The following is a 17,389-nucleotide window of genomic DNA, read 5'->3' on the forward strand; positions in this document are numbered from 1 at the left end:
ACAATAAAGTGGACTTACACCAAAGATCACACAATCAACAACTAAATATGCACAAAATATATGGTGAAAAGAATTCTGGAAGCAGCATAAATTTTACATTTAAAAGAGAAAAAGTAATATTTTAAGTAATCCCCTACCGATTTTCTACCATTTCCATATAAAAACAAACCTTATGAAAACAAATAAGAAAATGCATTATACGCCAGTGCATTTAAACAGTGGATCAGGAATAGAGAAAGATCACAAAGAATCAGTAGTCCTTACACTTTAAAAAATGTCTGCATTTATCTCTTGGAAACTTTGGATCCTTTTAGAAAACTGTACATTTCTACAAAACATATGACACATAAAATTTCAGGAATTCATGGGCATCCTAAAGCCCCAAAGATTCTAGAACTCAGTCTATTGACCCATTAGTGGTCCATGAGCACCAGGTTAAGAATCTTTATCCAGAGAGAAGCACAGAGGACTTACATTGTATAGAGGGATAGTCTTCATCACCTTGTACTGTTTAGTGGGATCCATTTTATACAGGTGACGGTCAGTGACAAAAATTGCTCTGTCTTCCACCTTACTAAATCGATTTACCTGTAAGAGAACAAACCAATAAACCATAGTATCTCATCAATAAGGAAATCAAGTTGGCTGATTGTGAAGACAAATTCTTTAATAGATGTGAACCATGTATGGCCACTCTACTGGATGCAATAAAGATTTAAAAGGAGTAGCTGTTCCCATACTTGTGGAATTTGGCAATTGAAATTTTACAATTGAACATGGAAAACAAGAAAACCACAGAAGAATTAAAGGACTAAACATATGTAACCCAGACACCATCAAGTAAGTAAAAAGGCAAACCCAGAGAATGGGAGAAAAACTTTGAAAATCATATATCTAAAAAGGGACTTGTATCTGGACTATGTAAAGAACTAATACAATTCAATAACTAAAAGGAAAATAACCCAATTATACAAAGAAATAATATGAAGCCCTTGGTTATAATAAGAATCTGAGACTGGTATATAGGGATAAGACAAATAGGAAACTAATAAGTAAAAATAATTTCATATAATGATATAAAGAAAATAAACTAGATTATGAGATTGGGAGAAATTTTGTGTGTGTGTGTGTGTGTGTGTGTGTGTGTGTGTGTGTGTGTGTGTAGAATGCTACTTTATTAGACAGAGGGTCAGAGAAGATTCACATGTTCAGGTAAATCTTTTCCTAAGAGCAGAATTAACCACAGGATATTTTATAAGTAGTTAGCTACTTAGACTTGGGTAATAAACACATATGTATTTTAAAAAGATGAGGGTCTCACTCTGTCACCCAAGATAGTGTGTAGTGGCTCAAGCAGTGACTCAGTGCAGCCTCAAACTCCTGGGCTCAAGTGATCCTCCTGCCTCCTAAGTTGTTGAGACTGCCAGCATGCGCCACCATGTCCAGCTAGACTTGGATACTAATCAACGTACCTAGCACTAAACATTTTTGAACCACTACGATATCATGTTTTTCAGTAACTAGAAGGAAAAAGAATGCAAACCAAACCAACAAACAGAAAACTTAAAAAGCCCTCCTCAACTAGAAAAGAAGGCATAGTTGTGATCTATATCCTCCATCCCCTCCTTCAAATTCTTATTTCTAAGATGCAAACAAAGAAGTTAGAGATCAATTTGAAAACATGGTTAGCTTCGGTAGGCTATTTAGCTAATGAAATTAAGATTGGCAGGATGGAACATAGCAGGATATATTGCTATAGGGAGGATATAGCAAACTAAAATTTAAATTTTAGTTTGAATTTTATTCAATCTTCTCCCCTTTGCCCCATAGTTTTAGAAATCAGTCAATTCTCTAAGCATTTCCTTAATAACCAAAGCACATTTTTTTCAGTCTTCAACTTGACAAAAATGGTGTCTGTAATTGAGAGTAAAATAGAATCTATATGGTGGAATAATTATTAGCCTTAGTAAATAACTTTACATAGCAACAGCTTTTGCTATTAACAGAGGATTGGCACTTGTCAGAAAACTTGAAACACAGTGAGTGAAGAGCTTCTATAGCAGCATTTTTCTTTCTTTTTTTCTTTTATTATTATACTTTAAGTTTTAGGGTACATGTGCACAATGTGCAGGTTAGTTACATATGTATACATGTGCCATGCTGGTGCGCTGCACCCACTAACTCGTCATCTAGCATTAGGTATATCTCCCAATGCTATCCCTCCCCCCTCCCCCCACCCCACAACAGTCCCCAGAGTGTGATGTTCCCCTTCCTGTGTCCATGTGATCTCATTGTTCAATTCCCACCTATGAGTGAGAATATGTGGTGTTTGGTTTTTTGTTCTTGCGATAGTTTACTGAGAATGATGATTTCCAATTTCATCCATGTCCCTACAAAGGACATGAACTAATCATTTTTTATGGCTGCATAGTATTCCATGGTGTATATGTGCCACATTTTCTTAATCCAGTCTATCATTGTTGGACATTTGGGTTGGTTCCAAGTCTTTATATAGCAGCATTTTTCTAAGCTGTTCAGTTCTAGCCTTATGTGAGGTTTTGTGAAAGTAAGGGTCCATGGACAAGTTGGTTTCAGAAATACTGCAAACCACAGCCTCCACTAGGGATATTCATATCCCATGAATATATATTTTTTCCTTTTTAAAATTTATTTTATTATTTTTTATATATAGATTTTTAAAATTATACTTTAAGTTCTAGGGTACATGTGCACAATGTGCAGGTTTGTTACATATGTATACACCTGCCATGTTGGTGTGCTGCACCCATTAACTCGTCATTTAAATTAGGTATATCTCCTAATGCTATCCCTCCCCCCTCCCCCCACCCCACAACAGGCCCCGGTGTGTGATGTTCCCCTTCCTGTGTCCAAGTGTTCTCATTGTTCCATTCCCACCTATGAGTGAGAACATGTGGTGTTTGCTTTTTTGTCCTTGCGATAGTTTGCTGAGAATGATGGTTTCCAGCTTCATCCATGTCCCTACAAAGGACATGAACTCATCCTTTTTTATGGCTGCATAGTATTCCATGGTGTATATGTGCCACATTTTCTTAATCCAGTCTATCATTGTTGGACATTTGGGTTGGTTCCAAGTCTTTGCTATTGTGAATAGTGCCACAATAAACATACGTGTGCATGTGTCTTTATAGCAGCATGATTTATAATCCTTAGCATATACCCAGTAATGGGATGGCTGGGTCAAATGGTATTTCTAGTTCTAGATCCCTGAGGAATCACCACACTGTCTTCCACAATGGTTGAACTAGTTTACAGTCCAACCAACAGTGTAAAAGTGTTCCTATTTCTCCACATCCTCTCCAGCACCTGTTGTTTCCTGACTTTTTAATGATCGCCATTCTAACTTGTGTGAGATGGCATCTCATTGTGGTTTTGATTTGCATTTCTCTGATGGCCGGTGATGATGAGCATTTTTTCATGTGTGTGTTGGCTGCATAAATGTCTTCTTTTGAGAAGTGTCTGTTCATATCTTTCTCCCACTTGTTGATGGGGTTGCTTTTTTTCTTGTAAATTTGTTTGAGTTCTTTGTAGATTCTGGATATTAGCCCTTTGTCAGATGAGTAGATTGCAAAAATTTTCTCCCATTCTGTAGGTTGCCTGTTCACTCTGATGGTAGTTTCTTTTGCTGTGCAGAAGCTCTTTAGTTTAATTAGATCCCATTTGTCAATTCTGGCTTTTGTTGCCATTGCTTTTGGTGTTTTAGACATGAAGTTCTTGCCCATGCCTATGTCTGAATGTTATTGCCTAGGTTTTCTTCTAGGGTTTTTATGGTTTTAGGTCTAACATTTTAGTCTTTAATCCATCTTGAATTAATTTTTGTATGAGGTGTAAGGAAGGCATCCAGTTTCAGCTTTCTACATATGGCTAGCCAGTTTTCCCAGCACCATTTGTTGAACAGGGAATCCTTTCCCCATTTCTTGTTTTTGTCAGGTTTGTCAAAGATCAGATAGTTGTAGATGTGTGGTATTATTTCTGAGGGCTCTGTTCTGTTCCATTGGTCTATATCTCTGTTTTGGTACCAGTACTATGCTGTTTTGGTTACTGTAGCCTTGTAGTATAGTTTGAAGTCAGGTAGCGTGACGCCTCCAGCTTTGTTCTTTTGGCTTAGGATTGACTTGGCAATGCAGGCTCTTTTTTGGTTCCATATGAACTTTACAGTAGTTTTTTCCAATTCTGTGAAGAAAGTCATTGGTAGCTTGATGGGGATGGCACTGAATCTATAAATTACCTTGGGCAGTATGGCCATTTTCACGATATTGATTCTTCCTATCCATGAGCATGGAATGTTCTTCCATTTGTTTTTGTCCTCTTTTATTTCATTGAGCAGTGGTTTGTTCTCCTTGAAGAGGTCCTTCACAACCCTTGTAAGTTGGATTCCTAGGTATTTTATTCTCTTTGAAGCAATTGTGAATGGGAGTTCACTCATGATTTGGCTCTCTGTCTGTTATTGGTGTATAAGAATGCTTGAGATTTTTGAAGACTGATTTTGCATCCTGAGAGTTTGCTGAAGTTGCTTATCAGCTTAAGGAGATTTTGGGCTGAGACCATGGGGTTTTCTAGATATACAATCATGTCATCTGCAAACAGGGACAATTTGACTTCCTCTTTTCCTAATTGAATACCCTTTATTTCTTTCTCCTGCCTGATTGCCCTGGCCAGAACTTCCAACACTGTTGAATAGGAGTGGTGAGAGAGGGCATCCCTGTCTTGTGCCAGTTTTCAAAGGGAATGCTTCCACTTTTTGCCCATTCAGTATGATATTGGCTGTGGTTTTGTCATAAATAGTTCTTATTATTTTGAGATACGTCCCATCAATACCTAATTTATTTAGAGTGTTTAGCATGAAGCGCTGTTGAATTTTGTCAAAGGCCTTTTCTGCATCTATTGAGATAATCATGTGTTTTTTATCTTTGGTTCTGTTTATATGCTGGATTACGTTTACTGATTTGCATATGTTGAACCAGTCTTGCATCCCAGGGATGAAGACAACTTGATCATGGTGGATAAGCTTTTTGATGTGCTGCTGGACTTGGTTTGCCAGTATTTTATTCAGGATTTTTGCATCGATGTTCATCAGGTATATTGGTCTAAAATTCTCTTTTTTTGTTGTGTCTCTGCCAGGCTTTGGTATCAGGATGATGCTGGCCTCATAAAATAAGTTAGGGAGGATTCCCTCTTTTTCTATTGATTGGAATAGTTTCAGAAGGAATGGTACCAGTTCCTCCTTCTACCTCTGGTAGCATTCAGCTGTGAATCCTGTCTGGTCTTGGACTTTTTTTGGTTGGTAAGCTATTATTGCCTCAATTTCAGATCCTGTTATTGGTCTATTAAGAGATTCACCTTCTTCCTGGTTTAGTCTTGGGAGGGTGTATGTGTCCAGGAATTTATCCATTTCTTCTAGATTTTTTAGTTTATTTGCGTAGAGGTGCTTATGGTATTCTCTGATGGTAGTTTGTATTTCTGTGGGATCGGTGGTGATATCCCCTTTATCATTTTTTATTGTGTCTATTTGATTCTTCTCTCTTTTCTTCTTTATGAGTCTTGCTAGTGGTCTATCAATTTTGTTGATCTTTTCAACAAACCAGCTCCTGGATTCATTGATTTTTTGAAGGGTTTTTTGTGTCTCCATCTCCTTCAGTTCTGCTCTTAGTTATTTCTTGCCTTCTGCTAGCTTTTGAATATGTTTGCTCTTGCTTCTCTAGTTCTTTTAATTGTGATGTTAGGGTGTCAAGTTTAGATCTTTCCTGCTTTCTCTTGTGGGCATTTAGTGCTATAAATTTCCCTCTACACACTGCTTTGAATGTGTCCCAGAGATTCTGGTATGTTGTGTCTTTGTTCTCGTTGGTTTCAAAGAACATCTTTATTTCTGCCTTCATTTCGTTATGTACCCAGTAGTTATTCAGGAGCAGGTTGTTCAGTTTCCATGTAGTTGAGCAGTTTTGAGTGAGTTTCTTAATCCTGCATTCTAGTTTGATTGCACAGGTCTGAGAGACAGTTTGTTATAATTTCTGTTCTTTTACATTTGTTGAGGAGTGCTTTACTTCCAACTATGTGGTCACTTTTGGAATAAGTGCGGCGTGGTGCTGAGAAGAATGTATATTCTGTTGATTTGGGGTGGAGAGTTCTGTAGATGTCTATTAGGTCCGCTTGGTGCAGAGCTGAGTTCAATTCCTGGATATCCTTGTTAACTTTCTGTCTCGTTGATCTGTCCAGTGTTGACAGTGGGGTGTTAAAGTCTCCCATTATTATTGTGTGGGAGTCTAAGTCTCTTTGTAGGTCTCTAAGGACTTGCTTTATGAATCTGGGTGCTCCTATATTGGGTGCATATATATTTAGGACAGTTAGCTCTTCTTGTTGAATTGATCCCTTTACCATTATGTAGTGGCCTTCTTTGTCTCTTTTGATCTTCGTTGGTTTAAGGTCCGTTTTATCAGAGACTAGGATTGCAACCCCTGCCTTTTTTTGTTTTCTATTAGATTGGTAGATCTTCCTCCATCCCTTTATTTTGAGCCTGTGTGTCTCTACATGTAAGATGGGTTTCTTGAATACAGTACCCTGATGGGTCTTGACTCTTTATCCAATTTGCCAGTCTGTGTCTTTTAATTGGAGCATTTTGCATATTTACATTTAAGGTTAATACTGTTATGTGTGAATCTAATCCTGTCATTATGATGTTAGCTGGTTATTTTGCTCATTAGTTGATGCAGTTTCTTCCTAGCATCGATGGCTTTTACAATTTGGCATGTTTTTGCAGTGGCTGGTACCAGTTGTTCCTTTCCATGTTTAGTGCTTCCTTCAGGAGCTCTTGTAGGGCAGGCCTGGTGGTGACAAAATCTCTCAGCATTTGCTTGTCTGTAAAGTATTTTATTTCTCCTTCACTTATGAAGCTTAGTTTGGCTGGATATGAAATTGCGGGTTGAAAATTCTTTTCTTTAAGAATGTTGAATATTGGCCCCCACTCTCTTCTGGCTTGTAGAGTTTCTGCTGAGAGATCAGCTGTTAGTGTGATGGGCTTCCCTTTGTGGGTAACCCGAGGGCTGCCCTTAACATTTTTTCCTTCATTTCAACTTTGGTGAATCTGACAATTATGTGTCTTGGAGTTGCTCTTCTCGAGGAGTATCTTTGTGGCGTTCTCTGTATTTCCTGAATTTGAATGTTGGCCTGCCTTGTTAGGTTGGGGAAGTTCTCCTGGATAATATCCTGCAGAGTGTTTTCCAACTTGGTTACACTCTCCCTGTCACTTTCAGGTGCACCAATCAGACGGAGATTTGGTCTTTTCACACAGTCCCATATTTCTTGGAGGCTTTGTGCGTTTCTTTTTATTTTTTTTTCTTTAAACTTCTCTTCTCACTTCATTTCATTCATTTGATCTTCAATCACTGATACCCTTTCTTCCAGTTGATCGAATCAGTTACTGAAGCTTGTGCATTCGTCATGTAGTTCTCGTGCCATGGTTTTCAGCTCCATCAGGTCCTTTAATGACTTCTCTGCATTGGTTATTCTAGTTAGCCATTCATCTAATCTTTTTTCAAGGTTTTTAACTTCTTTGTGATGGGTTCGAACTTCCTCCTTTAGCTCGGAGAAGTTTGATCATCTGAAGCCTTCTTCTCTCAGCTCGTCAAAGTCATTCTCCATCCAGCTTTGTTCCATTGCTGGTGAGGAGCTGCGTTCCTTTGGAGGAGGAGAGGTGCTCTGATTTTTAGAATTTTCAGTTTTTCTGCTCTGTTTTTTCCCGATCTTTGTGGTTTTATCTACCTTTGGTCTTTGATGATGGTGACGTACAGATGGGGTTTTGGTGTGGAAGTCCTTTCTGTTTGTTAGTTTTCCTTCTAACAGTCAGGATCCCATGAATATATTAAAGGCTGTGAGAATTCTGCACTTAAAGAGCATGTTTAACCCAGTATTTACAAAATACTTTTAACTATGAAACCCTTTTTCAGCACCTACAAATATTCAATAGAACACTGGTTCTGTAAAACTCATGTTGAAGAACACTTACTATCACTTGTATGAATCTTAGAGTTCATAGAGAATATCTAAAATAGGCACCAAATAATAGCTAATCCCAGCTACTTGGGAGGCTGAGGCAAGAGCATTGCTTGAGCCCGGGAGTTTGAGGCTGCAGTCACAGCCTGGGCAACAGAAGAAGACCCTCTCTGTAAAAATATATATATATATAAAAGAAAGGAAACAATAATAAGTAAAAGTCATGCACGTCATCTTTTGTGGAATCATACTGAAAAACATATGAGTGTAGGGCAAAAGAATATGATTTAAAAAACCTGTTACATAATTTCATAAGGTCATTCCAGAGTCAAAACAAGTAGGTCCCATGTCCTTTTATATGTTCCCGAGTTAATCTAAAAACAACAAACGAAAACCTCAAAGCAGCAATTGTATGAAAACACTGTTTGAAAATATTACGTTTTTATATGCAAAAAATGTAATTTCTAAAGAGAACATATCACAAATCTTTACCTTCTGTTTCAGCAGCTTAAATTATCCTCAGAATATGAATTGAGTGGGAAGGACATCAGGTAACAAAGTAAAAGCCTCAGATTGCATAATTTAGCTATATTAAAATGGCAAAGGAAAAAATTCTACATATAGATGTAAATTCCAGACTTATAATTATGGCAAAAAAGCACTCTTTTCTTCCACTTAAATTCATATAGTAATAGAAAAACTAGATTATAGACTCTGTATTAGATAAACCCTCATCTTGTTTCTTCTATTATCCAAAACTAAAATCTTCAACCAAAGAAAAAAATCCCTAGCATTTGTTTTTCCCTAAACACTACAAGTGATCTGTCTATAGGTTTAGTCAGTACCACAGGGGGCCACAGATAAAAGTTTATCTGGAGAGGCAGATAAGGAGAAAACACATCATGGTTGAGAGTAGCTATTTGCAGAAGTCTTTCACCTTAAAGGACATTTTATAATGTGGTTAATGGAAAGTGGCTGTTTCAGAGAGAATCTAAGCATAAAGAAGAGGGCTTTACTGAAATCCTATCAAGTTTACGCTGGCGTAGCCTTGGGATTGAACAGTTTCTAAAGTCGTATTTAAGCTATAGGGTGAACAAAGAGTATTTTGCTTTGAACTTGGAAATACAGGGACATGAATAAGAATGCTTCAGTTTTTAATCCAGCAGGACCCAGGTAAAGACATGTTCTCTGTCAGACATAAAATTGTCATTGCTGGAAAGATAGAGACATCAGGCATTTCTGTAGTAAATGACCTAATTCTTAAAACCATCCAACTGTCTTTGATCAACTGCTCTGATTATTAATTTGATTTTCCAGCTGCTTGATACTAAAGTGTACTAGATAGTGAATATGAGGACTCACTGACATGGTACATTCCTTTGTTATATTTACAAACTGACATTATAGCTTATACATTTTTTTTTTTTTTTTTTGCATGGGTGTGTGAATCTGGTTAGCAAAAGTCTTTTCTTGATAGTCTGATCGACTCTAGGTATACTTATAAAATAGAGTTTCTAAATCTCAGAGTTCAGAACTAAACTCTGGAGTGTGGTAACCCACCCCAAGATACTGCCAGCAGTCTTTCCTTGATGACATTTATTTCATTCTAACTGTAACCAGCTGCTCTCTATTTTGTTAAAAAGCCCCTATCACACTGAGGACTGGGCACGATGGCTCATGCCTGTAATCCCAGCAGTTTGGGAGGCCTAGGTGGGCAGATCACTTGAGGTCAGGAGTTCGAGACCAGCCTGGCCAACATGGTGAAACCCTGCCTATACTAAAAATATAAAAATTAGCCAGGCGTGGTGATGTGCACCTGTAATTCCAGCTACTGGGGAGGCTGAGGCAGGAGAATCGCTTGAACCCAGGAGGCAGAGGTTGCAGTGAGCCAAAATTGCGCCACAGCACCCTAGCCTGGGTGACAGAGTAAGACTGCCTCAAAAAAACAAAACAAAAAACAAAACAAACAAGCCTCTATCACGTTGAGTTGACCTCTTTCTTCTTCCTTATAATGTTCAAACACTGATTGTGATATAATAAGAAATACATATATTTGCTCATCATCCCAGTTCCTGACACAAAGCTCCCAAAACTCTTGTGATTTTATGAGTGATAGAGGTTATAGAATCACCTTTTGTTATGATATTTATTTAGTCTTAGTCCCAGATTCCCAACATAAGAGTTTCTATCTGCTAATCAGATAACTGGTGACTAGGAGCTCCTAGATAGTTTCAGGATTGGGGCTGGTTGCCAGAAAGACCAAGGCATGATTAGAGGGTTGGAACTTTCAGCCCCACCCCTTAACCTTCACGGAGGGGAGAGGGGCTGGAGATTAAGTTAATTACCCATAGCCAATGATTTCATCAACCATGCCTGTGTAATAAAACCTCCATAAACTCAAAATTATGGGGTTTGGAGAGCTTTGGGGGTGGTGCACACATCCACATGCTAAGAAGCCATAATCTTTGCCTTTTAATTGCGGTGTGTTTAGACCATTGACATTTAATGTGATTATCAATACAGTTAGGCCTAAATTTATCATTTTCAATTTGTTTTCTATTTGTCCCATTTGTTCTTTGTTCCCTTTTCCACATTTCTCTGCTTTCTTTTGCATTGAGATTTTTTTTTATAATTTCGTTTCTCTCCTTTGTTGGCTTATTAGTTATAACTTTTTGTATTGCCATTTTAGTGGCTTTTCTAGGATTTACAGAATACGTTTATAACATATCACAGTCTACTGACATTATATCACTTTATGGTATAAAAACCATACGACAGTATATTTCCATTTCCCCCATCTTTGTGCTATTGTTATCATAAATTTTACTTCTACATATATTATAAACTCTACACTACTTTATCACTGTTTCTGTTTAAGTAGCCAATTGTGTTTTTTCATTTAAAAAATTCGGTAAAATACACATAACAAAATTTTCTATTTGGATCATTTTTAAGTGTATAGGTCAATGCTTCATTGGCATTAAGCACATTCACATTGTTGTGCAGCCATCACCACTATCTTTCTCCAGAACTTTCATCATTCCAAACTGAAGCTCTATACCCATTAAACAATAACTCCCCAGTCCTCTCTTTCCCCAACCCCTAGAACTACCATTCTATTTTCTGTCTCTATGAATCAGATCATTCTAGGTACCATATATAACTGGGATCATACAATATTTATCCATGTGTATCTGGTTATTTTTCTTAGTATAATATCAACGTTCACCTTGGTTGTAGCATGTATTTATGGCTTTTTATCCATTGTATGGCTAAACCACATTTTCTTTCTTTCTTTTTTTTTTTTTTTTTTTTTTGAGACAGAGTCTCACTCTGTTGCCCAGGCTGGAGTGCAGTAGTGCGATCTCAGCTCACTGCAACCTCCACCCCCCGGGTTCAAGGGATTCTTGTGCTTCAGCCTCCCGAGCAGCTGGGATTGCAGGCCTGTGCCACCACGTCTGGCTAATTTTTGTATTTTTAGTAGAGACAGGGTTTCACCATGTTGGCCAGGCTGGTCTCAAACTCCTGGCCTCAAGTGATCCACCCGCCTCAGCCTCCCAAAGTGTTGGGATTATGGGTGTGAGCCACCATGCCTGGCCTATACCACATTTTCTTAATTCATTCATCCATCGATGGACATTTCAATTGCTTTCACCTGTTGGTTATTATGAATTATGCTGCCATAAACATTGGTATATAGTCAATTACCTTTTAAAGACATTTAAGTAAGAAAAGACATGTATTTGTCTATGTAGCTACCACTTCACTTGCTCTTCATTCTTTGGTGAATGTCCACATTTTCATATGGTATAATTTTCCTTCTGTCTGGATGACTTCCTTTAACATTTCCTATAGTGTTTATCTTCAGATATGTCTGAAAAAGTCTTTATTTCACTTTGGTTTTTGAAAGATATATTTGCTGGGTATAGAATTCTAAGTTGTTGTTGTTTTTTCACCAGTACTTTAAAGATGTTGCTCCACTGTCTCCTTACTTGCATTGCTTCTGACAAGAAATTGGATGCATACTTTCTTTGTTCCTTCGTGTCTTTTTTCTCTTTATTACTGGTATTGAGCAATTTAGTTACAATTTACCGTAGTATAGTTTACTTCATGTTTCTTGTGCTTAGTGTTTGTTGAGCTTCTTGGATCTGTGCATTTAACATTTCATCAAATTTTGGGGAAATATCAGCTGTTATTTTAAAAAATATTATTTATTTCTCTCCTTCTCTCCTCTCCCTCAGAGACTTCGGCTGCACCTATATTAGGCCACAGGAAGTTATCTAACAGCTTCCTGATGCTTTGTTTTAGCCTTTTATTTTTCTCTCTGTGTTTAATTCTGGGTAGTTTTTATTGCTATATCTTCAAATTCACTAGTTTTCCTTCTGCAAAGACTAATCTGCTGTTAATCCCATTGAGTATGTTTTTTCCTCCCAGAAATTGTATTTTTCATCTTTATAACTTCATGCAGGTCATTAAAAAAATCTTCCATGTGTTTATTTAACATGTTAAATCTTTCCTCTAGCTTTCTGAAGATATGGAATACAATCATAATAATTATTTTAATGACCTTGTCTGTTAATTCTATCATCTATATCAGTTCTGGGTCAGTTTGAATGATTAATTTTTTTTCTCCTTATGAGTTGTAGTCTCTTGTTTTGTATGCTTGGAAACTTTTGAGTGGATGTCATATGTTGTGAATTTTACCTTCTGTGAGCTGGATATTTTTGTATTCCTATAAAAATTTTTTGGCTTTGTTCTGGTTAGGTTACTTGGGAACAGTTTGATTATCTCTGGTTGTGCTTTCAAGATTTATTAGGTAGGATCAGAACAGTGTTTGGTCAAGGGCTAGTTATAACCCCCTACTGAGGCAATCTCTTGTCAGTACTCTATTCGGTGCCTCATAAATCATGAGGTTTTCCAGTCTGGCTGGTGTGAACAGGCACTACTTGCAACCCTGTGTGAGTACTGGGCATTGTTGCCTATAATCCTTTTGGGTTGCTGTTTCCCAGCCTTGAGTTATTTCCTCATATGCACATATGTATGTGCTGATCAGTACTCAGACGAACAGTCAAAGTGAACTCTACAGATCTTCAGAGTTTTCTCTCTGTGCAACTCTCTCCTCTCTGATACTCTGCTCCACAAATTCTAGCTGCCTTAGTCTCTCTCACTGTTGAAAAGCTCTGTCTTTGTCTACTGGGCTCTGCCTGGGCTTCCCCCACTGCTCATCCTGGGACTGGAAAGTCTCTCAAGACAGAAAACTGGCAAATTGCAGGGCTCATCACCTCATTTTTTTCTTCATATTTCAGGGAACATTGTCTTTCCTTGCTTGATGTCCACTGTCTTGAAAACCACTGTTTCACACATTTTGTCCTTTTCTCCCCACATAGATATCTTTTTCCCACTTTTTTTTTTTTTTTTTTTTTAGACGGAGTCTTGTTCTGTCACCCAGCTGGAGTGCAGTGGCACGATCTCGGCTCACTGCAACCTCTGCTTCCCGGGTTCAAGCAATTCTCCTGCCCCAGGCTCCTGAGTAGCTGGGACTACAGGTGCACACCACCAGACCCAGTTAATTTTTTTGTATTTTTAGTAGAGATGGGGTTTCACCATGTTGGCCAGGATGGTCTTGATCGCTTGACCTCATGATCCACCCGCCTCGGCCTTCCAAAGTGGTGGGATTATAGGCATAAGCCACTGCGTCTGGCCTCCCGCTAATTTAATATCAGTGTATATTACTGTGTACATACACAATTGATTAATTACCTATTGATATATATTCACATTTTTTCCAGTTTTTCTGGCTGTTACAATGTACAAACCTGTACATCTCTCTCTCTCTGGGTATTTGTACAGATATATTTGTAGGGTAAATATGGGCTGTGGAATTCTTAGATTAAGTGGTATGAGAATTTTAAATTTTGATAGATATTGCCAAATTGTCCACTCTAAATGACTATATCTTATACTCCGACCAAAAATGTCTTCTTACATCCTTATAAACATTGGTTATTATCAACACTTTAAAGACTGCCAAATTTATAGTTGAAAAATCATATTTCATTATTTTGATCTGAATACTACTGTAATTATTATTTTTTAAAAGATCTGAAATGAAGCACGTGTAAAATCACCTAAACTTGGGCCTTTATTATGAGGTAATTCTTTGATAATTTTCTTAATTCCTCCTTTGTCTATTGCCATATTTATGTTACTGTCTCTTCTTGGATCAACCTAGTTAATATTTTTTAAAAATTATAATTTCATTAATATTTTAAAATGTATTTGGATAATTCTACAAAATACTCTTTTAATGATAATTTCAATTCTTCTGTGTTCTTCTAAACAAGTATTTTAAGGTTTTTTTTTTAAGACTAGCTACGTCCTTTGCCTTCCACTTCCCAACTTCCATTTGCCCAACTGCTATCATCTCCAGGTAAATAGCAGCCCAAGTATCCTGCACCAGACAAGCAAATACATTCATAGCAGGTAACTTTTCCCTCACCTTCCGAATCTCAATATGCCCTACTCCTCTTTTTAAAACTCAGTTCTTCCTCTCCCAAACCCTGTTTTATAGAAATAATGTAGGTATAGGCTGGGCGCGGTGGCTCACGCCTGTAATCCCAGCACTCTGGGAGGCCGAGGCGGGCGGATCACGAGGTCAGGAGATCGAGACCATCCTGGCTAACATGGTGAAACCCCGTCTCTACTAAAGAATACAAAAAATTAGCCGGGCATGGTGGTGGGCGCCTGTAGTCCCAGCTACTCGGGAGGCTAAGGCAGGAGAATGGCATGAACCTGGGAGGCGGAGCTTGCAGTGAGCCGAGATTGCACCACTGCACTCCAGCCTGGGCGACAGAATGAGACTCCGTCTCAAAAAAAAAAAATAAATAAAAGAAATAATGTAGGTATAAAAAGTACTAAATGACAATTAAATATAAAGCAGATATACAGCTGCTATGAAAGATACACATGCAGTGAAATACAAATCCCTGACTTTAAAGAGGTCCCCGCAATCTAGTTTTTTTGTTTTTTTTTTCTAGTTTTAAAAAGAAATTGGCTGGGCATGGTGAGTCAGTCCTGGAATCCCAGCACTTTAGGAGGCTGAGGCAGGTGAATCACCTGAGATCAGGAGTTCGAGACCAGCCTGACCAACATGGTGAAACCCTGTCTCTACTAAAAATATAAAGTTAGCTAGACATGGTGGTGCATGCCTGTAATCCCAGTTACTTGGGAGGCTGAGACAGGAGAATCACTTGAACCTGGGAAGCGGAGGTTGCAGTGAGCCGAGATTACGCCACTGCTGTCCAGCCTGGACAACATGAGTAAAACTCCGTCTCCAAAAAAAAAAAAAAAAAAAAAGGTTATCACTTCCCTTAGGAAGGCTTTATAGCCTAACTGTAAAGTTGTAGTCACCTCAGCCATTCCTACAATGCCTCAGCACAGACAGGTCTAGTGAACTGATGATGAAGCTAGTTATGTACCTACTGTTATGTTTTATTACAGGCTTGCTTAAGTGAGTTTCATCTGAATCAGTCTTTCCTTTCCAAGATGATCTGGTTTAAGCTTGCCTTACCTTACGGACGTGACAGGAAAAGAGGACATTCATGTATTTGTCCTTCCGTTTCAATTCATTAGCAACAGGGACAAAAGTGCCTGAGGTCTGAGGTGTATCTGGCTTCTGAAAGAGAAAGGAAACAAGACAAAATGAGTATGCTTAGCATTTTAGAAGGAAAGGCAATCTTTCAGTGTACTGCTTTATAACTACACTTATATAGTTTCACACATGCACTCTTTATCTCCTCACCCCAGATGGTAAGCTACTAAATGGTTGTTGTAACATCAAAGATCCTATACAAATTTTAAAATAGGGAATGGGAGAGAGGATAAAGTGTAGCTCTGGGAATAATTAATATAAAGGTAGTAATTAAAAAATCGTCACTGAATGATGTAAGGGAAGGTTTAAATGGTCAAAGGCCAGGTTATAGAGTGTATTTAATACATATGGATACAACACACAGAACCCTTTTAAACACGGGAGAAACATCAAATACTGTACATTTAGAAGCAATAAAATGTTTTAGTATCTCATAGAAATTATTTAGTTTCTAAAAGTGTTTTATCCTTTCTGCAAATTCTTTGGAGATATGTACTTCTCTTTTTTAGTAGAGGAAGTAGAAGTAGATTTCACTTTGTTCCCTTGGACTTACTGAAGCAAGATAGTTGCCCTCCCAGGCCCTCTGGAGCCCGAGGTCAGCCCTTTGACCCTTCAACATTTCCACGGCTGCAACCTTTGCCCTGACCTGGGGCAGGTCTGAGGCCGGAATGCTCTTGATGAGCTGGGATGCTCTCCATCTACAAGTAAATAGACAACATGTATTAGACTTTAGAAATGCAATCCCATGCATTCTCTCTCTCTTTTTTTTTTTCTTTTTTGAGTCTCCCTCCATCTCCCAGGCTGGAGTGCATGGCATGATCTCAGCTCACTGCAACCTCTGCCTCCCAGGTTCAAGTGATTCTTCTGCCTCAGCCTCCTGGGTAGCTGGGATTACAGGTGTGTGCCACCATGCCTGGTTAATTTTTGTATTTTTATAAGAGATGGGGTTTCACCATGTTGGCCAGGCTGGTCCTGAACTCCTGACCTCAAGTGATCTGCCTGCCTCGGCCTCCCAAAGTGCTGGGATTACAGGCATGAGCCACCACGCCTGGGCTCCATGCATTCTCAAAAATAACTGAAGCTGTCATTAAGTAGAATGAAATCAAAGCACTGGCATGCTAAAAAAAGTAAAATGCCTCCAAAATACACACAGAAGTTGCTAAAATACATATCATTTTATGTAGACAGATCTTTCCTAAAACTTGCTTTGTTGTTTGTGTGTTTTGAAAGCAACTAGAACTTAGTGATACATGGGCTCTCATAATATTTATATTTAGGGCATAGAAAATTGGATTCATCATTCATTCATTCAACGAAGGTTTTCTAGGTGCCTGCTAAACTCCCAGTGCTGTTGTAGGCAGTGGGGGCACAGTAATAAGCAAAACAAAGGTCCTTTCTGCTAGCTGCTTGTCTTCTGGAGAGAAGTGACAGATAGCAAATATATGAGTAGACATATAGTATGTAGGATGGTGAAGGTAAGGCAAGGAGGACCGGGAGTGTGGAAGATGGAAGGAATGCAGAGTGGGTGTGGTTTATATAGGGTGGTTTATATAGGGTGGTCTGGGCAGGCACCACTGATAAGGATAGATGAGCAGAGACCTACAGGCCGTGAGGGAGCTGGTCATACGGAGACCTGCACCAGAGTGTTCTAGGAAGAGAAGAGAACACAGCAAGTGCAAAGGCTCCGGGATGTGAGCTTGCTTGGTGCGTCAG

At 38.4% G+C, this 17,389-nt stretch overlaps 1 protein-coding gene across 5 annotated transcripts in view; it reads right to left on the bottom strand.

The window, feature by feature from the left end:
* Positions 1-17,389, bottom strand: part of MYO1D (myosin ID) — a 384,603-nt gene that overhangs the window by 145,726 nt on the left and 221,488 nt on the right. For all 5 annotated transcript variants that reach the window (XR_001752521.3, NM_015194.3, NM_001411088.1 and 2 more), the window contains 3 exons: positions 16,230-16,374; positions 15,596-15,700; positions 475-588 (listed from right to left, as the gene is read on the bottom strand). Coding sequence is in view for 4 of the 5 variants with exons in the window: in NM_015194.3 (NP_056009.1) it covers positions 475-588; positions 15,596-15,700; positions 16,230-16,374 (364 nt within the window). In the remaining variant the exon portion in view is untranslated. The remainder of the gene's footprint in view (positions 1-474; positions 589-15,595; positions 15,701-16,229; positions 16,375-17,389) is intronic.

Source organism: Homo sapiens, chromosome 17 (assembly GCF_000001405.40).
Source record: "Homo sapiens chromosome 17, GRCh38.p14 Primary Assembly".
Classification (NCBI taxonomy): domain Eukaryota; kingdom Metazoa; phylum Chordata; class Mammalia; order Primates; family Hominidae; genus Homo; species Homo sapiens.